This window comes from Homo sapiens, chromosome 14 (assembly GCF_000001405.40).
Source record: "Homo sapiens chromosome 14, GRCh38.p14 Primary Assembly".
Lineage (NCBI taxonomy): Eukaryota > Metazoa > Chordata > Mammalia > Primates > Hominidae > Homo > Homo sapiens.
This window is the reverse complement of record NC_000014.9, coordinates 105,607,725-105,635,337: the sequence shown is the minus strand read 5'-3', so window position 1 is coordinate 105,635,337 and position 27,613 is coordinate 105,607,725. Positions and strand designations below refer to the sequence as shown.

General features: G+C 55.7%; 1 non-coding gene, 1 gene segment (V, D, J or C) and 1 further gene; 2 read left to right on the top strand and 1 right to left on the bottom strand.

The window, feature by feature from the left end:
* Positions 1-27,613, top strand: part of IGH (immunoglobulin heavy locus) — a 1,293,408-nt gene that overhangs the window by 1,244,507 nt on the left and 21,288 nt on the right.
* Positions 9,273-10,862, top strand: IGHG4 (immunoglobulin heavy constant gamma 4 (G4m marker)). The segment is given in 4 exon segments: positions 9,273-9,566; positions 9,959-9,994; positions 10,113-10,442; positions 10,540-10,862. Coding segments are annotated over 4 exon segments (983 nt in total).
* On the bottom strand, positions 14,158-14,222 carry MIR8071-1 (microRNA 8071-1). Its single transcript, NR_107038.1, has one exon. It is a non-coding gene; the product is annotated as a microRNA 8071-1 (primary transcript).

Genomic DNA, 27,613 nt, shown 5'->3' with positions numbered 1-27,613 from the left:
ATTCTTCTGAGGCTTTGATTACATCTCACTGAGCCCCCACGTTGCATGAAAAGGAGGGGTGGAGGGAGCAATTACACATTTGCCTTGTGCTCAGTAAATCTGCACTTTATAAGCAAATAAACAGAGTAGAGGAAGAAGTCAAATATGCATTCGTCTCAGGGGCAGGAGGGATGATTTCTTGTCTCATTTTGTCCCATGTCATGAAGACCGGGCTGTTAATTTATATTGTCAGGGTGAGGGAGGCCACCTGGGTAGACCTGGCCTATCTGCTGCTGCTCTCAGTTTGGAAACAAAAGGAAACGCATGACTTTTTTTTTTTTTTTCATGACTCAGCTTCCCACCTCAACTGTTCTTTTTGGCATAGTGACTTTAGGGTCCTGAGATTTTATTTTCCTTTCACAATGGTCAAGATCACACCCTCAGTATTCAGGAGAGCTGGTCCAACCCAGACCCCTGCCGTCCCTGGACGCTTTTCAAATACGTGCTGCAGTCTCTGACACTCTCTCACCATGGTAGAAACTGAGGTCTTGGTGAGTCTGCAGCCCCTGCTCATGGGGACAATGCAGGCTGAAACCCGCATTTCTGACCCCAAAGCTCCTGTTCCTTTCACTCACCCCCACACCAGCTCTTTGAGTCCAGAGCTTTGTCCTTGCCTGAGTCCTACCCTCAGGGACAGGGGCCCAACCCAGCCACCAACACATCATACCCTGAGAGGGTGCCAGGAGCCCAGAGATGTTTGGAGAGCACAGTAGCCCTGGAAGCTCTGTGGAGATGCTGCACATTTCTCTATTCAACAGATACTCGCCAGGTGGCCAGCAGCAGAGATGCCACATGGCATGGAGCTCGCCTTGGCCAACAGGACAGGTGTGGGGTTGGGAGGCCTTCCCAGGGCACTCCTTGAAGCAGAGCTGTGGGGAAAAGTTGGGGCCAATCTCAGATCTCCCCGTCAACACCGGGTCTCCTGCCCTCCTGGGCCACAGAAAACTAAGCTCCGTGGATACTGCGGCTGGGTGGGGCCGTGGGGGAGAAGAAATCACAACGAGTTAAAAGATCATTTTCTAAAACTGTTATGATCAGGACTCACATAACCATATGACGACACATTTCAGAGATGCTCTTTATCTCATTAATTAAGGTGTCGTAACCAGTTCAAAGTGGAATTCTAAGTACTACACTTACATAATTGATTCAGGAATGCTAAAAGGAGTTCATAGATAGATGCAAAACTGGCCTTTTCCCTGGAAGATGAGGAGCAATTCATTGTCCTTCCAAAGATGAGAACTTGAATTTCTACCAACTCAAAGAGCTTTTGCATTGCTATCAATTATGTACAACTTAGAGCAGTGGTCCCCAACATTTTTGGCACCAGGAACCAGTTCCATGGAAGACAATTTTTCCACAGACCAGGATCGGGGGATGGCTTGGGGACAAAGCTGTTCCACCTCAGATCATTAGGCATTAGGGTGTCATAAGGAGTGTGCAACTTAGATCCCGGGAATGTGCGGCTCGCAATAGGGTTCGCTCCTGTGAGAATCTAATGCTGCCACTGATCTGACAGGAGGTGGAGCTCGGGCAGGAATGCTCACACACCCCTCACCTCCTGCTCTGTGGCCCAGTTCCTAACAGGCCATGAACCGGTTCCAGTGCATGACCCAGGGATTGGGGACCCCTGGCTTATAGAGGTGTAAAATAGTTCAAAGGAAATAAAAGATGCAGAGCTCCACAGAATGAAATAACCTGGAAGAGTGTACAAGACGATGCCTTGCTTTCCATGGAAGGCACCTACTAATTTTTCTCAATGTTTCCTATAAACATATATAACTGACTGACAGAAACAGATCCATAATATAAAGAAGACCCCTGTAAACCAATGAGAAAAAAAATCAAATAATCCAACGAGGAATAGGCAAGAGAATTGAACAGATGTTTTACAGAAGATATCCAAATAGCCACTAAACATATGAAAAGGTGTTGAACCACACTAGTCAACAGGGAAATGAAAATGAAAAACCACATGAGAGAAAGTAGTTCTGATTCCAGTAATGCTAGAGCAGCTAATATCAGACTAGCCCTTTGGCAGATGGCAATTATAAACACTGGAAACACTGTAAGCACACACAACACCCACACACACCAATTGCAGGCACTGGAACATGACCAGAAGTAGGCAAACACTAGTAAGGATTATTCCGTGAAATATTCGTCTGAAGTCACACCCCAGTGCATGTAATGGGTGCAGCTAGAGTTTAAGCAGGAAACTGCAGCCCTCCTGGTGAGGAGTGGGATGCAGGGCTGCATTTTCAGAGCAGCTGGAAATGAAGAGAAGATGTCCATAAAGGAGAAGCTCACCGAAGGGAAACCACACAATCTGCAAGTAAACTCCACTGAAACCTCTGGCCGATCCCTTAGGTGTGCATGGGTAGGGAAAACTCCAAAGGGCCCAGCAGAAAGCAACACCTGTAAGTCGAGAGAACTGAGATTCCAGCTACTGCCAACTGCCAGGCAGACAGACTTGGGAGTTTGAGTCAACTCAAGCTAACTGCTAACATTGAAAAAAACAATTAATGCTCTGCTAAGAAAGAATGCAAACCCCATAGCCTGTACGCATGTTATCAACATCAGGTGCACATCCAAAATTACCATGGATGCAAAGAAACATGAAAATGTGATCCATAGTCAGAAGAAAAAGGGATCAATGGAGATCAACTCCAAGATGACCTAGATGCAGATACAGTTATCAGACAAGGACTTTAAAGAAGTTATGTTAAACATGTTCAAAGACTTAAAGGAAAATACTATTATAATGAGTGACTAGATGGGGAATCTCTATAAGAGACGGAAAATATTTACAAGAACCAAATGAAAATTCTAGAACTGAAAGTATGATTCTGAAATGAAAAACATCATTTTTCAGAGCAGGGTGAGAATGGACATGGGACTCAGAGCTGAGCAGGCCTGGTGGGCCCCAGGAGGGAGACACAGAGGACTGGGGGATTTCAAGGCTGGCAGAGGCCAGAGATGGATCCCCAGCTGGGACTGGACCTGGGCTTATGGGAGCAACAGGTGACCCATCCTCCTTCCTGGGGGCCCACCCTGCCCGGCCCCTCCAGCCCAGCACAGGCATTGGATAGAACCGGGAGAGAGCAGGCCAGGCACTGAGGCCTCTGCCCCAAATGCCCACAGCCTGGGGAAAATGAGCAGATAGATGGGGGGGCAAGTGGATCCCCAGGCACACCCACACAGTGCACACAGCCCCACCTGGGCCAGAGGGGGCAGGAGGCTCGCCACCCCTGCTGTGGTTTCTCCCACACTTGATGCAGGTGATATTCCTCTGAGATTGTGGACTAAGAGTTGGTGCTGGAAGGGGTTAGCCATCTTGGAGATGTTGCTATGGGGTGCAGGGATTTTGCATGTGAGAAGGACATGATTATGGGGGGAGCGGAGGGCAAACTGTTGTGGGTTAAAATGTGTCCCCTATAAATTCATGTGTTGAAGTCCTAACCCCCAGGACCACAGAATGTGACCTTGTTTGGAAACAGTCTTTGCAACTGCAATCAAGTTCAGATGAGGTCACCCTGGAGTAGGGCAAGCCTCTGATCCAATATGACTGCTGTCCTCATGAAAAGGGGGAATCTGGGTACAGACAGCACGTGGGGAGAACACCCTGTGAAGATGGTGCTGCTTCCATAAGCCAAGAGCAGCAGAGACGGCCGGCAAAGCCCAGCAGCAAGGAGAGAGCCTGGGACAGAGTCTCCCATGACACAGAGGTGCCAGCCCCGCCGAGGCCTCCATCCCAGATGCCCGGCCTCCAGAACCAGGACGGAATAAACGTCTGTTGTTTAAGCCACGCAGTCTGGGGTGCTGTGTTGCCAGGGCCACAGTTAACGGATACGAGTGTTGTCCTGAGCTGCCAGCCCCACAGGCTGCACGAGGCCTCCCTGCCCCAGCCCAGTGCAGACTCCCCAGCCCCCTGGGTGTGCCATGGGCAGTGCGGGGCCCCTCACTGCATCCTCCCCCAGCCTGGGAGGTTGAGCCCATTATGAGCTCCATGGGGTGAAGCCGGAGCCAGAAGCTGGGAGCCGACTGGGAGCCTGCGGCTGGAGGATGGATTTCCCCAGGGACCCACACGTGCACCTCCACCTGTCTCCTGGACATTCTCTCTGAGGGCAGGGCTGGTGTCAGCTCAGGGATCCAGCAGGGACACAAGGGTGGGCCGGGTCCTTGTGGAGAGCACATTTAGTGGGAGGGACATGATTTCCCTTCAAAGTGCCCATTCTGGATGCTTCCTGGTCCACGCTGGACACTTCCTGTTCCACGCTGGACGCTTCCTGTTCCACGCTGGACGCTTCCTGTTCCACGCTTGATGTTTCCTGTTCCATGCTGGATGCTTCCTGTTCCATGCTGGACATTTCCTGTTCCACTCTGGATGCTCCCTGTTCCATTCTGGATGCTTCCTGTTCCATGCTGGACATTTCCTGTTCCACTCTGCATGCTTCCTGTTCCACTCTGGATGCTTCCTGTGCGAAACCTCCTCGGGCTTTTGGTCTGCCCAGTCCCTCTGGCTGCATCTCGTCCCCCGCTACCTCCCACCTCCACATCCGTCCTTGCCCAGCTCCTCTCTCTCTCCAGAGTTTCCACCTGGCAAGGTCCCTGATGAGCTCAGTCCAGGCTCCCCCAGCACAGGTAGGAGCCTAGCACCTGCCCTTGGACCTCCCCACCCTGCATGATGCCAGCATCCCCAGGCCCCAGGGAGGCCCCATTTCTCTCTCTACTGCTGGCCCAGTGGCCCTGGAGTCCCACTGCAACTCGGGTGTGCCCCTGACCTCTGAGGAAGTTAAGTGTCCTGTCCCTAGCCAGGCTATCCCCTCTGCTCAGCCCCAGGGCCCTGCCCCTTACCCCTTCCCCTCACCTGCACGATAGGCTCTGGCCAACTCTGCCCAGGCCCTGAATGGGCCCCTCTGGCTCCCCTCTGCTGCTACACTGCCCTGCACCACCTCCACTCAGCTTCAGTGTGTTCATCCACCTGTCCCAAGTCCCCTCGGCCCCCAGGAGCACAGCTGGTGGCCCTGGTTCCTGGCAGCCCATCTTGTTCCTTCTGGAGCACCAGCCTCAGAGGCCTTCCTGTGCAGGGTCCACTCGGCCAGCCCTGGGACCCTCCTGGTCTCAAGCACACGTTCTCCCTGCAGCCAGACCTGCCCCTGCCTGTGAGCTCAGACCTGAGCCTTGGAACGTCTTCCCTTCTCCATCCCAGCTCGCCTTTGCCAGCTGCTCAGTGGGATGAACTCACACTCCCCTCCCTCCACCATGAGTGAGAGTCAGCTGGAGAGATGCCCAGGCCAAAGCAGCCACCAGGGCCCAGTGGGGGGCCAGAAGCTTCAGGTGAGAGGCCCAGGTATTGAGAGGCTGAGACCATGGGCAGAATGGTCATAATCGCTGCCAGTCTCAGTCCAGCCCCAGGGACTCAGAGACAGAGAAAAGAGCAGCACACAAGGTCCGGGCTCCCCACCTTCTCCCGTGAGTATGGGGGAGTATGGGGGCAGCCACCACCCCCATCCCCACACACCCATGAGGCAGCCTCGGCTCTGTGTGGACTCCCCCTCGCCCTCTGACACAGAAACCACCAGAAGAAAAGGGAACTTCAGGAAGTAAGGGGTGCCGCTGGTTTCAATCCTGTTCTTAGTCTTTGCAGCGTGGAGTTCACACCCCTGGGGACCTGGGACCTGAGCTGTGATTTCCTAGGAAGACAAATAGCGGCTGACGGCGGGGGCGGGGCCGCCCACATGTACCTCGCCAGAACAGGAAGGGTTGAGACCCCCACCTCGGTGAGTGGGGTCAGCACAGGGCAGGGGCACAGGCTCGGGAGGAGGACAGCCTGGGCGCAGCCGTCGGCGCTCCTAGACCTGAGCTGCTGAACAGGCTGCAAGAGGCTGGGGAGACGCGGGCGCGAGGCCAGCCCCACATGGAAGCCCAAGCGGAGCCAGCACGGGGGAGGTGGGCAGCCTTCAGGCACTGATGCCCACCCAGTGCGAGACGACGGGGACCGTGGGCAGGGGCTTCCAAGCCAACAGGGCAGGACACACCAGAGGCTGACTGAGGCCTCCAGGACGACCGGGCTGGGAGCACGAGGAACATGACGGGATGCGGCAGAACCGGCTGTGGGGTGATGCCAGGATGGGCACGACCGACCTGAGCTCAGGAGGCAGCAGAGCGAGGGAGGAGGAGAGGCCCCAGGTGAACGGAGGGGCTTGTCCAGGCCGGCAGCATCACCAGAGCCCAGGGCAGGGTCAGCAGAGCTGGCCGTAGGGCCCTCCTCTCAGCCAGGACCAAGGACAGCAGGTGAGCCGGGAGCAGAGCAGCGAGGGTGAGTGTGGCAGCAGGACAGAAGGGTGGAAGCCAAGGAGCCCAGAGGCAGAGGCAGGGACAGGGGAGGGACAGGGGCTGGGCTCAGAGCCAGCTGATGGGGCTGGGGCACCTGCTGGCGGGGAGCAGGGCTGTGGTCAGCAGCGGAGAGGAGGGGAGAGCTGTGCTGAGTGCACGGGCGGGAGGAGGGAAGAGTCCAGGGAGGCCCAGAAAGGCCCAGAGTGCAGCAGGCCTGGGGCGAGGGGAGGGGCTGAGGCCCAGCAGAGCAGAGGCCACTGAGGAGCTGAGGTTCCGGAGAGGCTTCCAGAGCAGGAGCAGTGCAGGGACGGGAGGATCCGGGAGCTCATCCAGGAGGGGCACATAGGCAAGGGGCTCTGTTGGGGAGACCTGACTGGACACTGGGGCTGCTCCACAGCATAGGGAACAAGCCAAGTGCTGCAAAAACAAAAATGAGGCCAGAAAAACAGCCCAAACCTGGACAGAGGGTGCCAGGACAGGCAGGGGGGCAACAGTGGCCTGAGTGACATTGCTGCCCCGGGTTGAGGGAGGACAGAGTGAGCAGGGGGCAGGCATTGGAGTTCAGGGTACCAGGACCGAGCAGCCACAGGTGAGCAGGGCAGGTGGGGGTAGAAGGAGCAGGGGGCAGCTCCTGGAACTCAGGGGACCAGGGCAGAGCAGCCACAGGCAAACAGGAGAGGGGAGGGGGGGCAGGAGGAGCAGGGGGCAGCTCTTGGAGCTCAGGGGACCAGGGCAGAGACGCCGCAGGTGAGCAGGGGCAGGTGGGGGGGCAGGAGGAGCAGGGGGCAGCTCTTGGAGCTCAGGGGACCAGGGCAGAGCAGCCACAGGTGAGCAGGGGCAGGTGGGGGGCAGAAGGAGTAGGGGGCAGCTCTTGGAGCTCAGAGGACCAGGGCAGAGCAGCCACAGGGGAGGAGGGGCAGGTGGGAGGCAGGATGAACAGGGGGCGGCTCCTGGAACTCAGGAAACAGGGGAGAGCATCAGAAGGTGAGCAGGGCCAGTGGGAGGTTGCAGAGCAGGGGACAGCTCCTGGAGCTCAGGGGACCAGGGCAGAGCCGCCGCAGGTGAGCAGGGGCAGGTGGGGGGCAGGAGGAGCAGGGGGCACCTCCTGGAGCTCAGGCGACCGGGGCAGAGCAGCCTCAGGTGAAAAGGGCCGGTGGGGGGCAGGAGGAGCAAGGGGCAGCTCCTGGAGGTCAGGGGACCAGGGCAGAGCCGCCGCAGGTCAGCAGGGCCGGTGGGAGGCAGGACGAGCAGGGGACAGGCACTAGAGCTCAGGGCAAGGCAGCCACAGGTGAGCAGGGCTGGTGGGAGGCATCACTCAGCTCCTAGACTTTGGCAGGAGCTGGGTAGTTGCCGGCAGCAGACAGCTGAGAGCTGGTGAAAGTGCAGTGCAGCCTCCTGGTGCCGGGAAGGGAGTGTGAGTCCATCCCACTGAGCAGTTGGCAAGGGCGAGCTGGGATGGAGAAGGGAAGGCATTCCAGGGCTCAGGGCTGGGCTCTCAGGCAGGGGCAGGTGTGGCTGCAGGGGGAACGTGTGCTTGAGACCAGGAGGGTCCCAGGGCTGGCCCCAGCGGACCCTGGGCAGGAAGGCCTCTGAGGCTGGCGCCCCAGAAGGAGCAAGATGGGCTGCCAGGAGCCAGGACCATCAGCACAATGAAGCTGAGTGGAGGTGGTGCAGGGCAGTGTAGCAGCAGAGGGCTGCCAGAGGGGCCCATTCAGGGCCTGGGCAGAGTCAGCCAGAGCCTGTGGTGCAGGTGAGGGGAAGGGGTGGTGAGCGGGGCCCTGGGGCCGAGCAGAGGGGATGGCCTGGCTGAGGGCAGGGCGCTTAGCCTCCTCAGAGGTCAGGGGCACACCCCACCTGCAGTGGGACTCCAGGGCCACTGGGCCAGCGGCAGAGAGAAATGGGGCCTCCCTGTGGCCTGGGGGTCCTGGCACCATGCAGGGTGGGGAGGGCCAAGGGCAGGTGCAAGGCTCCTACCTGTGCTGGGGGGCCTGGGTTGAGCCCAGCAGGGACCTTGCCGGGGGAAGCTCTGGAGAGAGGGAGGAGGTGGGCTGGTGGCCGAGAAGGCCAGGCCAGGGCTGGGAGGGTGAGGTTGTGGTGACTGAGCCTCCAGAAGTAATGCAGGACACTGGGAGGCAGGGGGCATCCAGGCACTCAGGGCCCTGACCTGGGCTGCTGCACACTGGGGCTAAGGGGAAAGGAGGGGAGAGGCTGAGGAGGAGGCTCCAGGAGGCTATTCCAAGGCAGGGGGTTCCGGGGCCCTGGGGCTGAAGGGCGCCGACCCTATGCAGTGTCTGGCCCCTCTGCTGCACAGAAGAAAAGGGCCTTGGAGGGCAGAGGGCAGGCTATGACCAGGGCCCTGGGCAAGTCAGGCCCACTCACTAGCGGAGGGCCACGCTGGGGCGGCAGGGTCAGGAGCTTCAGGGGACTCGGGGGACCCACGAGAAGCCATCTGAGAACAGTGTCCACTGGTCAAGCCAGGCACCCATAAAAGGCTGGAGTGGGGCCAATGGGCATGAGCCGTCCCTGAGGTGGCACCGATGGCCAGAGCTGAGGCCAAGCTAGAGACACTGGACTGTGCTGACTCCCGGCAGGCACAGAGCGCTGACCTGGCTGCCGAGCCCCGCCCCCTAGGCTGCAGGGGTGCCTGCAGAAGGGCACCACAGGGCCACCGGTCCTGCAAGCTTTCTGGGGCAGGCCGGGCCTGACTTTGGCTGGGGGCAGGGAGGGGGCTAAGGTGACGCAGGTGGCGCCAGCCAGGCGCACACCCAATGCCCGTGAGCCCAGACACTGGACCCTGCATGGACCATCGCAGATAGACAAGAACCGAGGGGCCTCTGCGCCCTGGGCCCAGCTCTGTCCCACACCGCGGTCACATGGCACCACCTCTCTTGCAGCTTCCACCAAGGGCCCATCGGTCTTCCCCCTGGCGCCCTGCTCCAGGAGCACCTCCGAGAGCACAGCCGCCCTGGGCTGCCTGGTCAAGGACTACTTCCCCGAACCGGTGACGGTGTCGTGGAACTCAGGCGCCCTGACCAGCGGCGTGCACACCTTCCCGGCTGTCCTACAGTCCTCAGGACTCTACTCCCTCAGCAGCGTGGTGACCGTGCCCTCCAGCAGCTTGGGCACGAAGACCTACACCTGCAACGTAGATCACAAGCCCAGCAACACCAAGGTGGACAAGAGAGTTGGTGAGAGGCCAGCACAGGGAGGGAGGGTGTCTGCTGGAAGCCAGGCTCAGCCCTCCTGCCTGGACGCACCCCGGCTGTGCAGCCCCAGCCCAGGGCAGCAAGGCAGGCCCCATCTGTCTCCTCACCCGGAGGCCTCTGACCACCCCACTCATGCTCAGGGAGAGGGTCTTCTGGATTTTTCCACCAGGCTCCGGGCAGCCACAGGCTGGATGCCCCTACCCCAGGCCCTGCGCATACAGGGGCAGGTGCTGCGCTCAGACCTGCCAAGAGCCATATCCGGGAGGACCCTGCCCCTGACCTAAGCCCACCCCAAAGGCCAAACTCTCCACTCCCTCAGCTCAGACACCTTCTCTCCTCCCAGATCTGAGTAACTCCCAATCTTCTCTCTGCAGAGTCCAAATATGGTCCCCCATGCCCATCATGCCCAGGTAAGCCAACCCAGGCCTCGCCCTCCAGCTCAAGGCGGGACAGGTGCCCTAGAGTAGCCTGCATCCAGGGACAGGCCCCAGCCGGGTGCTGACGCATCCACCTCCATCTCTTCCTCAGCACCTGAGTTCCTGGGGGGACCATCAGTCTTCCTGTTCCCCCCAAAACCCAAGGACACTCTCATGATCTCCCGGACCCCTGAGGTCACGTGCGTGGTGGTGGACGTGAGCCAGGAAGACCCCGAGGTCCAGTTCAACTGGTACGTGGATGGCGTGGAGGTGCATAATGCCAAGACAAAGCCGCGGGAGGAGCAGTTCAACAGCACGTACCGTGTGGTCAGCGTCCTCACCGTCCTGCACCAGGACTGGCTGAACGGCAAGGAGTACAAGTGCAAGGTCTCCAACAAAGGCCTCCCGTCCTCCATCGAGAAAACCATCTCCAAAGCCAAAGGTGGGACCCACGGGGTGCGAGGGCCACATGGACAGAGGTCAGCTCGGCCCACCCTCTGCCCTGGGAGTGACCGCTGTGCCAACCTCTGTCCCTACAGGGCAGCCCCGAGAGCCACAGGTGTACACCCTGCCCCCATCCCAGGAGGAGATGACCAAGAACCAGGTCAGCCTGACCTGCCTGGTCAAAGGCTTCTACCCCAGCGACATCGCCGTGGAGTGGGAGAGCAATGGGCAGCCGGAGAACAACTACAAGACCACGCCTCCCGTGCTGGACTCCGACGGCTCCTTCTTCCTCTACAGCAGGCTCACCGTGGACAAGAGCAGGTGGCAGGAGGGGAATGTCTTCTCATGCTCCGTGATGCATGAGGCTCTGCACAACCACTACACACAGAAGAGCCTCTCCCTGTCTCTGGGTAAATGAGTGCCAGGGCCGGCAAGCCCCCGCTCCCCGGGCTCTCGGGGTCGCGCGAGGATGCTTGGCACGTACCCCGTGTACATACTTCCCGGGCGCCCAGCATGGAAATAAAGCACCCAGCGCTGCCCTGGGCCCCTGCGAGACTGTGATGGTTCTTTCCACGGGTCAGGCCGAGTCTGAGGCCTGAGTGGCATGAGGGAGGCAGAGCGGGTCCCACTGTCCCCACACTGGCCCAGGCTGTGCAGGTGTGCCTGGGCCGCCTAGGGTGGGGCTCAGCCAGGGGCTGCCCTCGGCAGGGTGGGGGATTTGCCAGCGTGGCCCTCCCTCCAGCAGCACCTGCCCTGGGCTGGGCCACGAGAAGCCCTAGGAGCCCCTGGGGACAGACACACAGCCCCTGCCTCTGTAGGAGACTGTCCTGTTCTGTGAGCGCCCTGTCCTCCGACCCGCATGCCCACTCGGGGGCATGCCTAGTCCATGTGCGTAGGGACAGGCCCTCCCTCACCCATCTACCCCCACGGCACTAACCCCTGGCAGCCCTGCCCAGCCTCGAACCCACATGGGGACACAACCGACTCCGGGGACATGCACTCTCGGGCCCTGTGGAGGGACTGGTCCAGATGCCCACACACACACTCAGCCCAGACCCGTTCAACAAACCCCGCACTGAGGTTGGCCGGCCACACGGCCACCACACACACACGTGCACGCCTCACACACGGAGCCTCACCCGGGCGAACCGCACAGCACCCAGACCAGAGCAAGGTCCTCGCACACGTGAACACTCCTCAGACACAGGCCCCCACGAGCCCCACGCGGCACCTCAAGGCCCACGAGCCGCTCGGCAGCTTCTCCACATGCTGACCAGCTCAGACAAACCCAGCCCTCCTCTCACAAGGTGCCCCTGCAGCCGCCACACACACAGGGGAACACACGCCACGTCGCGTCCCTGGCACTGGCCCACGTCCCAATACAGCCCTTCCCTGCAGCTGGGGTCACATGAGGGGTGGGTTTCACCATCCTCCTGCCCTCTGGGGCTCAGGGAGGGACACGGGAGACGGGGAGTGGGTCCTGCTGAGGGCCAGGTCGCTATCTAGGGCCGGGTGTCTGGCTGAGCCCCAGGGCCAAAGCTGGTGCCCAGGGTGGACAGCTTCCGGGAGCTGACCTCAGGACATTGTTGGCCCATCCCGGCCGGGCCCTACATCCTGGGCCCCGCCACAGAGGGAATCACCCCCAGAGGCCCAAGCCCAGGGGGACACAGCACTGACCACCCCCTTCCTGTCCAGAGCTGCAACTGGAGGAGAGCTGTGCGGAGGCGCAGGACGGGGAGCTGGACGGGCTGTGGACGACCATCACCATCTTCATCACACTCTTCCTGCTAAGCGTGTGCTACAGTGCCACCGTCACCTTCTTCAAGGTCGGCCGCACGTTGTCCCCAGCTGTCCTTGACATTGTCCCCCATGCTGTCACACACTGTCCCTGACACTGTCCCCCACTCTCTCCACAAACTGTCCCTGACACTGTCCCCCATGCTGTACACACCTGTCCAACAGTGTCCCCCAGGCTGTCTCCACATGTCCGACACTGTCCCCCATGCTATCCCCCATCCTGACACTGTCCCCCACACTGTCCCCACCTGTCCTTGATGCTGTGCCCCACGGTCTCCCCACCTCTCCCTGATTCTGTCCCCCACGCTGTACCTGTCCCCAATGCTCTCCCCCAGCCTGTCCCCAACACTGTCCGCCATGCTGTCCCACCTTTCCCCCACACTGTCCCCCAGTCTCCGCCTGTCCCTGACGCTGTCCCACATGCGGTCCCCCATTCCTGATACTGTCCCCCATGCTGTCCCCACCTTCCCCAACACTGTACCCCACAGTCCCCACCTTCCCCAACACTGTCCCCACCTGTCCCTGACACTCCCCCATGCTGTCCCCACCTGTCCCCCACTCACCCCCCACACTGTCCCTGTCTCTGACACTGTCCCCCATGCTGTCCGCACCTGTCCCCGTCCCCCACGCTGTCCCTACCTGTCCCTGACACTGTCCCCCATGCTGTCCCCCACTTTCCCCAGCTTTCCCTGTCCCCCACGCTGTCCCTACCTGTCCCTGACACTGACCCCCATGCTGTCCGCACCTGTCCCCCACTCTCCCCACCTCTCCCTGTCACCCACGCTGTCCCTACCTGTCCCTGACACTGTCCCCCATGCTGTCCCCACCTGTCCCCCAATCTCCCCACCTCTCCCTGTCCCCCACGCTGTCCCCACCTGTCCCTGACGTTGTCTTCTGTGTTATCCACATGCTGTCACTACCATGGCTCTGCTCTCCATGTCCAGGCCTGGGGGCAGGCAGTGTAGAGCCCCGGTACCTGGGTGGCCTGAAAGGCAGATGGGCCTTGGGAGCAGGGCTGTGGCCTGGGTGGCCTGAGGGGTGGGTGGGGCTCAGGGGCAGGGCTGTGGCCTCGCTCACCCCTGTGCTGTGCCTTGCCTACAGGTGAAGTGGATCTTCTCCTCAGTGGTGGACCTGAAGCAGACCATCGTCCCCGACTACAGGAACATGATAAGGCAGGGGGCCTAGGGCCACCCTCTGCGGGGTGTCCAGGGCCGCCCAGACCCCACACACGAGCCGTGGGCCATGCTCAGCCACCACCCAGGCCACACCTGCCCCCTGACCTCACCGCCCTCAACCCCATGGCTCTCTGGCTTCGCAGTCGCCCTCTGAGCCCTGAAACGCCCCCCTTCCAGACCCTGTGCATAGCAGGTCTACCCCAGACCTCCGCTGCTTGGTGCATGCAGGGCGCTGAGGGCCAGGTGTCCCCTCAGCAGGACGTCCCTGCCCTCTGGACCACCAGGTGCTCACACAAAAGGAGGTAACCGGCATCCCAGGCCCCCACTCAGGCAGGACCTCGCCCTGGAGCCAACCCCGTCCACGCCAGCCTCCTGAACACAGGCATGGTTTCCAGATGGTGAGTGGGAGCATCAGTCGCCAAGGTAGGGAAGCCACAGCACCATCAGGCCCTGTTGGGGAGGCTTCCGAGAGCTGCGAAGGCTCACTCAGACGGCCTTCCTCCCAGCCCGCAGCCAGCCAGCCTCCATTCCGGGCACTCCCGTGAACTCCTGACATGAGGAATGAGGTTGTTCTGATTTCAAGCAAAGAACGCTGCTCTCTGGCTCCTGGGAACAGTCTCGGTGCCAGCACCACCCCTTGGCTGCCTGCCCACACTGCTGGATTCTCGGGTGGAACTGGACCCGCAGGGACAGCCAGCCCCAGAGTCCGCACTGGGGAGAGAAAGGGCCAGGCCCAGGACACTGCCACCTACCACCCACTCCAGTCCACCGAGATCACTCGGAGAAGAGCCTGGGCCATGTGGCCGCTGCAGGAGCCCCACAGTGCAAGGGTGAGGATAGCCCAAGGAAGGGCTGGGCATCTGCCCAGACAGGCCTCCCACAGAAGGCTGGTGACCAGGTCCCAGGCGGGCAAGACTCAGCCTTGGTGGGGCCTGAGGACAGAGGAGGCCCAGGAGCATCGGGGAGAGAGGTGGAGGGACACCGGGAGAGCCAGGAGCGTGGACACAGCCAGAACTCATCACAGAGGCTGGCGTCCAGTCCCGGGTCACGTGCAGCAGGAACAAGCAGCCACTCTGGGGGCACCAGGTGGAGAGGCAAGACGACAAAGAGGGTGCCCGTGTTCTTGCGAAAGCGGGGCTGCTGGCCACGAGTGCTGGACAGAGGCCCCCACGCTCTGCTGCCCCCATCACACCGTTCCGTGACTGTCACGCAGAATCCACAGACAGGAAGGGAGGCTCGAGCGGGACTGCGGCCAGCGCCTGCCTCGGCCGTCAGGGAGGACTCCCGGGCTCACTCGAAGGAGGTGTCACCATTTCAGCTTTGGCTTTTCTTCTTCTTTTAAATTTTCTAAAGCTCATTAATTGTCTTTGATGTTTCTTTTGTGATGACAATAAAATATCCTTTTTAAGTCTTGTACTTCGTGATGGGAGCCGCCTTCCTGTGTCCACGCGCCTCCTGCCCCCGGTGGGAAGCACGGTCAGGAGGAGGCTGGTCGAGCTGCACCTCGGGGGCTCCCTGCACTCGCCCCCCGCCTCCTGCAGCCACACGCATTGCCCGAGCGGCCCTCCCTGGCCCCTGTCGCTACATGGACCCCCGGGGCTTCTCCTCTTTTCTACATGGATGCAGTTTCTCCTCCTGCTGGGCACGGTGCTGCCTGCCCTGGTCACTCTGCGGGGGACAGGGCCTCCAGGGAAAGCTGGGTCGAGGCTGGGAGCTGGCTCAGGCTGGCCAGGCAGAGCCACAGGGAGGGCCTTCCAGAACCAACCATGGTCCGAAGCGAGAGGTGGGTGTCAGATCTGTGTGCGTCAGCTCAGGACCACAGCGGGGCAGCTCCCACGGCAGACATGGATCCTCCCAGGCCTAGAGACCAGGAATCTGAGATCAGGATGCAGGCAGGGCTGGTTTCTCTCAAGCCCTCTCTCCTTGGCTTGTAGACACCGTCTCCTCCCTGGTCCTCACATGGCCATCCCTCTGTGTGCCCGTGTCCTAAGCTTCTCTTCTTATAAGAACACACATCGCATTAGATTAGTGACCCCATATGAACTTAATGACCTCTGTAAAGACCCCATCTCCAAATAGTCACATTGTGAGGCCAGGGATTAAGACTTGAATATATGAATTTGTAGGGGCCACAATTTAACTCATAACAGTCCATGCTATGGCCCCCCAAATTTCATGTTCTTCTCACATGCAAAATACATTCATCTGTCTCAGCATCCCCCAAGTCTTAGTCCTTTCAGCATCAATTCTAAGCCTAAAATCTCATCAAACTGTCACCCTCATCAGGCACAGGTGAAACCTGGTGTGTGATTCATTCTATGGTAAAATTCAGCCCATAGGACACATGGTGGGTGCCAGGAACGAGGACAAGGCAGGAGAGGCAAAGGTGGAGAGAGACATTTTCAAAGATAAAGCTGGGCACTAGATCATGTAGCAAGGACGGATTTTCAACAGAAATAACTATTGCAACAGAAGAAAGAGTCCGGCATGACCTGGACTCACCTTCATCTGTGCAGAGGCCACAGCCTTGTAAAGGGAGGTGGTAGGGGGAGCAGGGTGGGTGCTCGGGGCTCAGTCGTCGGGGAAGGGAAAAGTTGCCCAGCGCTGGTCAGCGTCCCCGGGATGGGACCTGCTGTGTCCGTGCCGGCCACTGTTGAGGTCAGGATTCTGTCCTCCCAGAGCCTGGAGACACAGGCCCCATCCTTCACAAAGGGGACACTTCAGGGAGCGGCTCTCAAGTCTTGAGAAAGACCCTCCTGGGTCACAGGAAATGCACAGACATCGGGAACGGATAGAAGGACGTGTGGTTGCGGCCCTCTCAGCAGACACCCTGAGAAAGGGAGGTCGGGGTTGGTCCAAACGGTGAGTTCTGGTGCACGGAGCTTTCTCAGGCAGGTGTTGACGGGGCAGGGGTCGGCCTAGGGGTACGGCCAGAAGCTGTTAGAAACTGTTAGTGTCTGCTCAAGTCTTTACAAGCCAAGGTTGAGGCCGAGTGGAGAGGCTCCGAGGAGCCTGGCTGGAACTCAGTCAAGGACAGGGTCTTGTTACTGCAGTGGCTGCGGTGGCTGCGGTGGCTGGAAAATGCCGTCGGAGTTGCCTGTGGCAGGAGAGAGACCATCTCACCCAGGAAGGAGGAGTGGTTGGATTCGTTTGTGTGGCATCGAGCAGCTGGAGCTGCACCAAACACGGAGTTGGGGACTAAATCCCCAGACTCCAGGCCCTGCCATGCCGTGGGAAGGCTCGCCACTGGAGGGTGGGCTCCAGGGGGCCTGGCCTGAACTGGGTGCTGAAGCCCAGCCCTTTAACTCTCAGGACACGCTGCTGCAGCCCCGCGGGGGGTGAGGGAGACAGCACCTGGGGTGCAGGGCGGGCAGCTGCTGCATCACCGGCTCTATCCCAAGCCCAAGGATGGCGTCCCAGAGATGCAGGAGAGCTTTGTCCAGAGAAGGTGCCAGCCCTCAGGGACCCTGCTGGAGAGATCTCCACCCTCTGCCCTTCAAGGGGCCCTACGGGCCTCCGGGTGCCCTGGTGGGGTGGGCTCCAGTCCACTGTCTGAGGATGGACGGCCTGGCCAGGATAAGGAAAGGAAACCCAGGATGGTGCCGGGCTCCGGGTCATTCCGTGCACTGAGCAGGCTGAGTTGGGAAGAAGCAGATGCTTCCTGCAGCTCCTGCCCCTGCAGGGCCTGGCGCCTGGACCAGGTTCCCCTAGGGAAATTGGGCCCCTCCCTGAGCCACCCGGGGCCCACCGCCCCCTTTCCACCTGGGACCGAGCATCCTCCAGAGGGTCAGCCCTCCTGAGGGAACACCATGCCCAGCCCCAGGACCCTCCCTCAACTCTCCAGCAAGGCTGCACTGTGGGCGGCCCCTGCACATACCCCAGCAGTCCGTGCTGTGATGTAACATGACATGGTGTGACGTGGTGTGATGTCTCTGGTGTGACGTGGATGTCATGTGGCATGATGTGACAGGACATGGTGTGATGTTGTATGATGTGGTATGACAGTGTGATATCCGAGGGGTGATGTGATGTGGTGTGACATGTTGTAATGTCCCTGGTGTGAGGTGGTGTTGCACATGGTGGGATGTGGTGTGACATGGTGTAATGTCCCTGGTGTGAGGTGGTGTTGCACATGGTGGGATGTGGTGTGACACAGTGTGACATCCCTGGTGTGATGTGCTGTGACATAGTGTGATGGGTATGACATCCCTGGTATGATGAGCTATAATATGAAATGATGTGGAATGGTGTGACATGATGTGATGTGATGGGACAAGGTGTGACATCCCTGGTGTGATGTGGTGTGATGAAGTGTAACAGGCTGTGACATACTGTGATATGGTGTGGCATGTGACGTGGTGTGACATGTGATGTGGTGTGATGGGGTGTGACATCCCTGGTGTGATGGGGTGTGAGGTAGTTTGACGTGGTGTGATGTAATGTGATGTGGTGTGATGGGGTATGACATCTGTGGTGTGATGAGGTGTGGTGTGACATGATGTGACGTGTGACGTGCTGTGACAGGGTGCCACATCCTTGGTGTGATGTGATGCGGTGTGACATGGTGTGATGTGGCAGGATGGGGTGTGGCAGGGTACGACATCCCTAGTGTGATGATGAGTTTCATGGTGTGATGTGGCGTGACATCCCTGGCATGACATAGTGTGATGTGGTGTGACATGGTGTGACATTCCTGGTGTGACTCTGCTGTTGTGACATTTGTGGTCACCCCAGCATACAGAGGTCTCTGTGGCCAAGGGAAGGGGGAGAATGGAACGATCTGAGCAGGTTGACCTGGAGGAACTGGTGGCCCTTGAGTCCACGAAGCCCACCCTGCTAGGTGCCCCTGCCCCACGTGACCCAAGGGGGTTGCAGAGCAGCAAGCAGGACTCTGGTTAGACAGGAGGAAGGACCTGCCACCACGTGGCCTTGTGAGGAGACACAGAGCGAGCCTGTGACCTCGGCGTCCACCCAGCACAGGGTGCTGCTGAAGCCCCTCCTGTCATCTCAGCAGGGGTCCCAGGGCAAGGCCCGAGGCAGGCTGAAGAGAGGGGCAGAGTGAGGATGCTGGGGAGGCAGGGGTGAGGGGAGTGAGAGCCCAGGTTTCAGCTGAGCCCCTGCACAGGGAAGGAACCTAGCTGAACACCCATCTCCCCACACACTCCCAACCCTGCCTCTGCCCGACCACCTCCCAGAGGGCACCTCGAACCCTCTAACACCCACACTCAGCAAGGGGTATGGTGTCCCCACCGAATCCAGCCAGTGAGGCCCGGCACAGCCACGCCTGTGCCCACCACTCCCATGGCCAAGCTCCCTGCTAACATGGTAGGACAGGGCCAGGCCTGGAGGAGACAGAACATCAGTCCCATGGGGAAGCTCCCTGCTCACATGGCAGGGCAGGGCCTGGAGGAGACAGAACGCCCCATCTGGCATGGTACTCAGGCTGCACATGCCTGCCACGCACGGGGGCCACGCGACAATGCCTGCCACGCATGGGGGACATGTGATGCTGCCTGCCACGCATGGGGGACACGCAACAATGCCTGACACGCATGGGGGCCACGTGACACACACATACACACACGGGCCTCACAGGCACACGAATGTTTGCAACCCCAGCACCCACCCAGCACACTCAGGCACAGGCTCTCCAGGTGGGTCACAGCCTCACGCCTTGAGCTACTCCATGTGCCAGGCCCTTCACCCACGTTCCTGTCCCCAGTGCCAGCTGTTGAGCCACACCGTCTTCTCTGTGGATCCCTCCCAGCCCACTCAGCACAATGGACATGCTCTCTCCCGTCCAGTGACTGCACTGGCCTCCTCCCCTCAGCACCCACGTCTGGCCATCTCCCAGGAAACCCGGACCACCACGGGCAGGGACCACCTTCCTCACTATCCACATGGACCACCCCACACCTGACCCCAGATGCAGTCACACTATGTCCTGCTTCAATATTGAAAAGGGGAAAAGCTGGAGGAGGGGAAAGATGAAAGAGAAAAAAGCAAGACGGGAGAGTCACATTCTTCTGAGGCTTTGATTACATCTCACTGAGCCCCCACGTTGCATGAAAAGGAGGGGTGGAGGGAGCAATTACGCATTCGCCTTGTGCTCAGTAAATCTGCACTTTATAAGAAAATAAACAGAGTAGAGGAAGAAGTCAAATATGCATTTGTCTCAGGGGCAGGAGGGATGATTTCTTGTCTCATTTTGTCCCATGTCATGAAGACCGGGCTGTTAATTTATATTGTCAGGGTGAGGGAGGCCACCTGGGTAGACCTGGCCTATCTGCTGCTGCTCTCAGTTTGGAAACAAAAGGAAACGCATGACTTTTTTTTTTTTTCATGACTCAGCTTCCCACCTCAACTGTTCTTTTTGGCATAGTGACTTTAGGGTCCTGAGATTTTATTTTCCTTTCACAATGGTCAAGATCGCACCCTCAGTATTCAGGAGAGCTGGTCCAACCCAGACCCCTGCCGTCCCTGGACACTTTCAAATACGTGCTGCAGTCTCTGACACTCTCTCACCATCGAAGAAACTGAGGCCTTGGTGAGCCTGCAAGCCCCTGCTCATGGGGACAATGCAGGCTGAAACCCGCATTTCTGACCCCAAAGCTCCTGTTCCTTTCACTCACCCCCACACCAGCTCTTTGAGTCCAGAGCTTTGTCCTTGCCTGAGTCCTACCCTCAGGGACAGGGGCCCAACCCAGCCACCAACACATCATACCCTGAGAGGGTGCCGGGAGCCCAGAGATGTTTGGAGAGCACAGAAGCCCTGGAAGCTCTGTGGAGATGCTGCACATTTCTCTATTCAACAGATACTCACCAGGTGGCCAGCGGCAGAGATGCCACATGGCATGGAGCTCGCCTTGGCCAACAGGACAGGTGTGGGGTTGGGAGGCCTTCCCAGGGCACTCCTTGAAGCAGAGCTGTGGGGAAAAGTTGGGGCCAATCTCAGATCTCCCCGTCAACACCGGGTCTCCTGCCCTCCTGGGCCACAGAAAACTAAGCTCCGTGGATACTGCGGCTGGGTGGGGCCGTGGGGGAGAAGAAATCACAACGAGTTAAGAGATCATTTTTTAAAACTATTATGATCAGGACTCACATAAACATATGACGACACATTTCAGAGATGCTCTTTATCTCATTAATTAAGGTGTCGTAACCAGTTCAAAGTGGAATTCTAAGTACTACACTTAACATAATTGATTCAGGAATGCTAAAAGGAGTTCATAGATAGATGCAAAACTGGCCTTTTCCCTGGAAGATGAGGAGCAATTCATTGTCCTTCCAAAGGTGAGAACTTGCATTTCTACCAACTCAAAGAGTTTTTGCATTGCTATCAATTATGTACAACTTAGAGCAGTGGTCCCCAACATTTTTGGCACCAGGAACCAGTTCCATGGAAGACAATTTTTCCACAGACCAAGATCGGGGGATGTCTTGGGGACAAAGCTGTTCTACCTCAGATCATTAGGCATTAGGATTTCACGAGGAGTGTGCAACTTAGATCCCAGGAATGTGCAGCTCGCAATAGGGTTCGCTCCTATGAGAATCTAATGCTGCCACTGATCTGACGGGAGGTGGAGCTCGGGCAGGAATGCTCACACATCCCTCACCTCTTGCTCTGTGGCCCAGTTCCTAACAGGCCATGAACCGGTTCCAGTGCATGACCCAGGGGTTGGGGACCCCTGGCTTATAGAGGTGTAAAATAGTTCAAAGGAAATGAAAGATGCAGAGCTCCACAGAATGAAATAACCTGGAAGAGTGTACAAGACGATGCCTTGCTTTCCATGGAAGGCACCTAGTAATCATTTGGTCCATTTCAGTTCTTCTTAATGCTTCCTATAAACATATATAACTGACTGACACAAACAGATCCATAATATAAAGAAGACCCCTGTAAACCAATGAGAAAAAAAATCAAATAATCCAACGAGGAATAGGCAAGAGAATTGAACAGATGTTTTACAGAAGATATCCAAATAGCCACTAAACATATGAAAAGGTGTTGAACCACACTAGTCAACAGGGAAATGAAAATGAAAAACCACATGAGAGAAAGTAGTTCCGATTCCAATAATGCTGGAGCAGCTAATATCAGACTAGCCCTTTGGCAGATGGCAATTATAAACACTGGAAATGCTGTAAGCACACACAACACCCACACACACCAATTACAGGCACTGGAACATGACCAGAAGTAGGCAAACACTAGTAAGGATTATTCCCTGAAATATTCATCTGAAGTCACACCCCAGGGCATGTAATGGGTGCAGCTAGAGTTCAAGCAGGAAACTGCAGTCCTCCTGGTGAGGAGTGGGATGCAGGGCTACATTTTCAGAGCAGCTGGAAATGAAGAGAAGATGTCCATAAAGGAGAAGGTCACCGAAGGGAAACCCCACAACCTGCAGGTAAACTCCACTGAAACCTCTGGCCGATCCCTTAGGTGTGCATGGGTAGGGAAAACTCCAAAGGGTCCAGCAGAAAGCAGCACCTGTATAGTCAAGAGAACTGAGATTGCAGATACTGCCAACTCCCAGGCAGACAGACTTGGGAGTTTGAGTCAACTCAAGCTAACTGCTTGCTAACATGAAAAAAACAATTAATGCTCTGCTAAGGAAGGATGCAAACCCCATAGCCTGTACACATGTTATCAACAACATCAGGTGCACATCCAAAATTACCATGGATGCAAAGAAACATGAAAATGTGATCCAAAGTCAGAAGAAAAAGGGATCAATGGAGATCAACTCCAAGATGACCTAGATGCAGATACAGTTATCAGACAAGGACTTTAAAGAAGTTATGTTAAAAATGTTCAAAGACTTAGAGAATATGGTTATCATGAGTGACTAGATGAGGTATCTCTATAAAAAACTGAAAATAGTTACAAGAACCAAATGAAAATTCTAGAACTAAAAGTATGATTCTGAAATGAAAAACATTTGGCCAGGCCCAGTGGCTCATACCTGTAATCCTAGCACTTTGGGGGCCCAACAGGGAAGTATCACTTGATCTCAGGAGCTTGAGACCAGCCTGGGCAACGTGGTGAAACCCCATCTCTATTTTATTAAAAAAGAAAAGAAAGAGAAAAACATTACCCAAGTTTAATAACAGATTGGAGAAGACAAAAGAAGGAACTGAAAACTTAAAGATGCATCAATAGAATATATCAATTATTTTTAATCCAATCCAAAGAAAAGAGAGAAAAATACTAAAAAAGGAAAAAAGACTCATCCTGCTGGAGAAGGCGAAGCATTCTAAAACATGTGAAACTGGAGTCCAGAGGGGGATGTAATACTTCCATGGGAAAGGTCAACCCTAAGCTATATGCAAATGTACCTGCATAGGCTGGTGTGGTGGGCTGATGGCATCTCCCTGGCCAAATGTATGCCCACCTGGAACCTCAGAATGTGACCATATTTAGAAATAGGGTCTTTACAAATTAGGTTAAGGACTTGAGATGATATCATACTAAATTTTGGATGGATCCCAAGTCCAAACACTGGTGTCCTCATAAGAGGAGAGGACACAGACACACGTGGAGATAAGCCACATGATGACAAAGAAGAAGATGAGGGGTGTGTCAGGAGCCACCTGTGTTTGTCCATTTGCATTACTGTAAAGAAATACCTGAGGCTGAGTAAGTTATAAAGGAAAGAGGTTGAATTGGCTCACAGTTCTGCAGGCTGTATAGGAAGCATGGCACCAGCATCTGCTTCTGGCGAGGACCTCAGGAAACTTACAGCATAGCAGAAGGTGAAGGGACAGCAGGTATGCCACATGGCAAGAATGGGAGCAAGAGGCTGAGGGGGGCCCCAGACTTAAACAACTAGATTGTGTGTGAGCTGACTGGGGGAGAATTCACTCATCACCAAGGGGAAGATGCTCAATCATTCATGAGGGATCTTCCCCCTTGATCTAATCACCTCCTACCAGGCCCCACTTCCAACACTGGGAATCATATTGCAACATGAGATTTGGAGGGGACAAATATATAAACCATATCCTTCCACCCCTGGTCCCCCAAATCTCATGTCCTTCTCATGTTGCAAAATATAATTATGCCTTCTCAACAATCCCCCAAAGTCTTACCTCATTCCAGAATCAACCCAAAATTCCCAAGTCCCAAGTCTCATCTGAAGATGAGTCCCTTCCACCTATCAGCCTAGGAAATCAAAGACAAATTGACTCCCAAAATACAATGAGTGTGCAGACATTGGGTAAACATTCCCATTCCACAAGGGAGAAGTTGGCAAAAAGAAAGGATCTACATGCCCCATACTTGTCAGAAATCCAGCAGGGCAGTTATTAAATCTTAAAGCTCCAAGGTAATCTCCTTTGACTGCGTGTCCCATATCCAGGGCACACTGGTGCAGGGGGTGGACTCCCAAGGCCTTGGAAATCTCTACCCCTGTGGCTTTGGAGGATGTAGCCCCTGTGGCTTCTCTCACACGATAGAGTTGAGTGCCTGTGGCTTTTCCAGATTCAGGGTGCAAGCTGCCAGTGGATCCACCATTCTGGGGTCTGGAGGACAGTGGCCCCCTTCCCACAGCTCCGCTAGGCAGTGCCCTGGTGGGGACATTATATGGGGGTTCAACCCCACATTCTCTTTGGCACTGCTCTAGTAGAGGTTCTCTGTGAGGGCTCCATGCTGGCAGGAGGCTTCTGTCTGGGCAGCTAGGCTTTCTCATACATTTCTGAAATCTAGAGGGAAGATGCCAAGCTTCCTTCACTCTTGCATTCTGGGGGCCTACAGGCTTAACACCAGATGGAAGTCACCAAGGCTTATAGTGGCTTGCACTCTCCAAAGCAGCAGCCTAAGCTGTACTTGGGGCCCTTTGAGCCAAGGCTGGAGCCAGAGGAACCAGGATGTGGAGAGCAGTGTCCCAAGGCTGCACAGGCAGCAGTGGCCATGGCCATGGCCCACAAAACCATCCTTTCCCTCTTGGCCTCTGGGCCTGTGATGGGAAAGACCACCTCAGAGATTTCCAAAATGCCTTCAAGGCCTTTTTCCCTTTGTTCTGGATATGAGCACTTAGCTCCCTTTTAGTTATGCTAATCTCTCTAGCAACTGGCTGCTCCATAGCCTACTTATATTTGTCTCCTGAAAATACCTTTTCTTTTCTACCACATGGCCAGGCTGTGAATTTTCCACATTTTTTATGCTCTGCTTCCCTTTGTTGATGAAAAAAGCCAAACTCCATAAAACACTTGAAAAATTGATTCTGAGCCAAATATGAGAGCCATGAACTGTGGCACAGCCTCAAAAGGTCCTGAGAACACCTGTGCAAGGTGGTTGGGTTGCGGCCTGCTTTTATGTTTTAGGGAGACATATCAATCAATACATGTAAAGTATACATTGGTTTGATTTGGTTTGGAAAAGCAGGACAATTCAAAGTGGGGAATTCCAAATCATGGTGGATTTGAAGATTTTCTGATTGGCGATTGGCTGAAAAATTTAAATTATCTAAAAAGTTGAAGTCAGCGAAAAGCAATGCTTAAGATAAGGGGGTTGTGGAAGCCAAGGTTCTTGTTATGTAGACGAAGGCTCCACGTTCCAGAGAGAAGAGATGGTCAATGTCTCTTATCAGAACCTAAAAGGTGCCAGACTCTTGGATAAATCTCTCCTGAATCAGGAAGAGACCTGGAAAGGGAAAAAGATTCTCAACAGAATATACATTTCCTCCACAAGAGACGGCTTTGCAGGGCCCTTCCAAAATGTGTCAGAGAAACATATTCTGGCAATAAATACTTTAATTTCCTTCCATGCCTGCCACCTGTCATGTGATGCTATACCAGAGTCAGGTTGGGATTTGATACCTTATTGCTACAAAGAGTCTGCTTTGTCAGTCTTAAGCTCCCTGTTTTAATGTTAACACTGGTCAGCTGAGCCTAAGCTCCAACAGGGAGAGGGTATAGTGAGGGAGTCCAAACCACCCTCCCCTTCCTGTCATGGCCTGAACTGGTTTTCCAGGTTTCTTTGGAATCCCCTTGGTTTAGCATTTTATTTTGTCGTTTACACCTTTTAAATATAAGTTCCAACTTTCAGTCATTTCTTTGCTCCCATATCTTACCATAGACTGTTAGAAGCAACCAGGTCACACCTTAGAAACATCTGCTTAGAAATGTCTTCCACAGATGCCCTAAGTCATCACTCTTAAGGTCAAACTTCCACAGATCCCTAAGGCATGAACACAATGCAGCCAAGTTGTTTCTTAGGATTTAACAAGCGTGACCTTTACCCCAGTTCCCAATAAGTTCCTCATTTCCATCTGAGATTTCATCAGCCTGGCTTTCACAGTCCATATGTCTATCAGCATTTTGGTGACAACCATTTAATAGTCTCTAAGAAATTCCAAACTTTCCCTCATCTTCCTGTCTTCTTCTGAGTCCTCCAAATTCTTCTAACCTCTCTGCCTGTTACCTGATTCCAAAGCTGCTTCCACATTTTCAGGTATCCTTATAGCAATGTTCCACTCCTCAATACCAATGTTCTGAGTTAGTCTATTTGTGTTACTAGAAAAAAAAAAAAACATGAATCTGGTAATTTATAAAGAAAAGAGGTTTGCACCAGGCACTGTGGCAAGGAAGGGAGGATTAACTAGCTCACAGTTCTGCAGCCATTCTGGAAACACGGCCCTGGCATCTGCTTCTGGCGAGGCCTCAGGGAGATTGCAATCACGGCAGAAGGCGAAGGGGGAGCAGGCATGTCACATGGCAAGAGGGAGCAAGAGAAGAGAAGTGGCACGTCCCAGACTTTTAAACAATGAGCTGTCACAGGGACTAACTGAGGGAGAACTCGCTCATCACCTGGGAGATGGTGCTAGGCCATTCATGAGGGGTCCAGCCCCATGATCTAATCACCTCCCACCAGGCCCACCTCCAACACTGGGAATCACATCTCAACACGAAATTTGAAGAGACACACATCCAAACTATTGCACCACAGGAAGCTGGAAGAGGTGGACGGTCCTCCCCTGGAGCACTCAGAGACAGCCACCAACACCTTGATCTCAGATTCCTGACTCCCAGAACTCTGAAAAAATTTTTGTTGTTTTAAGCCACATTTGTGATATTTTGTTACGGCAGCCACAGCACGGATATAGCTGGTAACAGAGTTCTTTAGCCTCCAAAATACAAGCCTGGGGTAAATAACTATTGAATTTGGCCACATGGAAATCAGGAAGAATGTAATAAGCATCCTCGATGGATGGGATGACCTGGGAGATCGTGGCAAGTTTAAAGCTAATTGGAAGTTGGCAACCAAAAAATCCTGTCTTGCAAATTGCCAGGAAATTGCCAAGAAAACCTTTAGAAAACATGGTTAAAGATGGAGAAACCCGGATGAATCCCTGGTTTCTGAAGAGGTGCTTAGGCATTGAAGTGAGACTGACGAGACTTCACACTGTACCCTTCAGAAGGGCAGACACTCACGAGATCATCAACCACAGCTCCCTCGCTGGGAGGCAGACACAGAGCTGGAGGCGGCGGCCACAAACTAGGTGGGCAGAGAGGCGTCAGCATCGGGACTTGCAGGAGGCCCTGGGAAGGAACAGGGAGCGGTGGGGCCTGGACAGCCCTGGGGAAAGGAAGTTACTTGGAGGAGACCAGGGGCTTGCATTTGGGCCAAAACCAAGGACAAGAGATCAGCTGGTCCCAGGGAACTCTGGAGCCCAACACCCCACCACGGGTGCAGGGGCCTGACGACCCAAGAGAGGGCTGTGGGCACCGGGCACCAGCCTGTGGGGGGTCTGAAGGCTGCTGCCCAGCCACACATGTCCTGGTTCTGAACAAAGGGTTCAAGAGACACCTGGAAACCTACCCTTCTGAGAGCAGCCTCTTAGCCTCAGCTGGTATTGGCCCCTGGTCACCCCACATGCCCCGACAGTGGGGCCTGGCCTCAGAAAGGGGCCCCTCCATTTGTACTTTCTATCTGATCCTTGACACAGTGCTAACACCAAAGACCAAACCCGAATCTTGGTTCACATACTCTGCAAAGAAATGACTAAGACTAGTTCTTCCGGAGGTCAGTTTTAGAACGTTTATTCTGACTTAATTCTGCCTTATCTCTGTGCACCAAGAAAACTATCTGCACATCTGTAGTAAAATGTGAAGGTACCTTCATTTTGTTTGTATACTAAACTTTTAAGAAATACCTCACTTTTTAAAACTTGGTTTTGTGTTTTGTATGCTT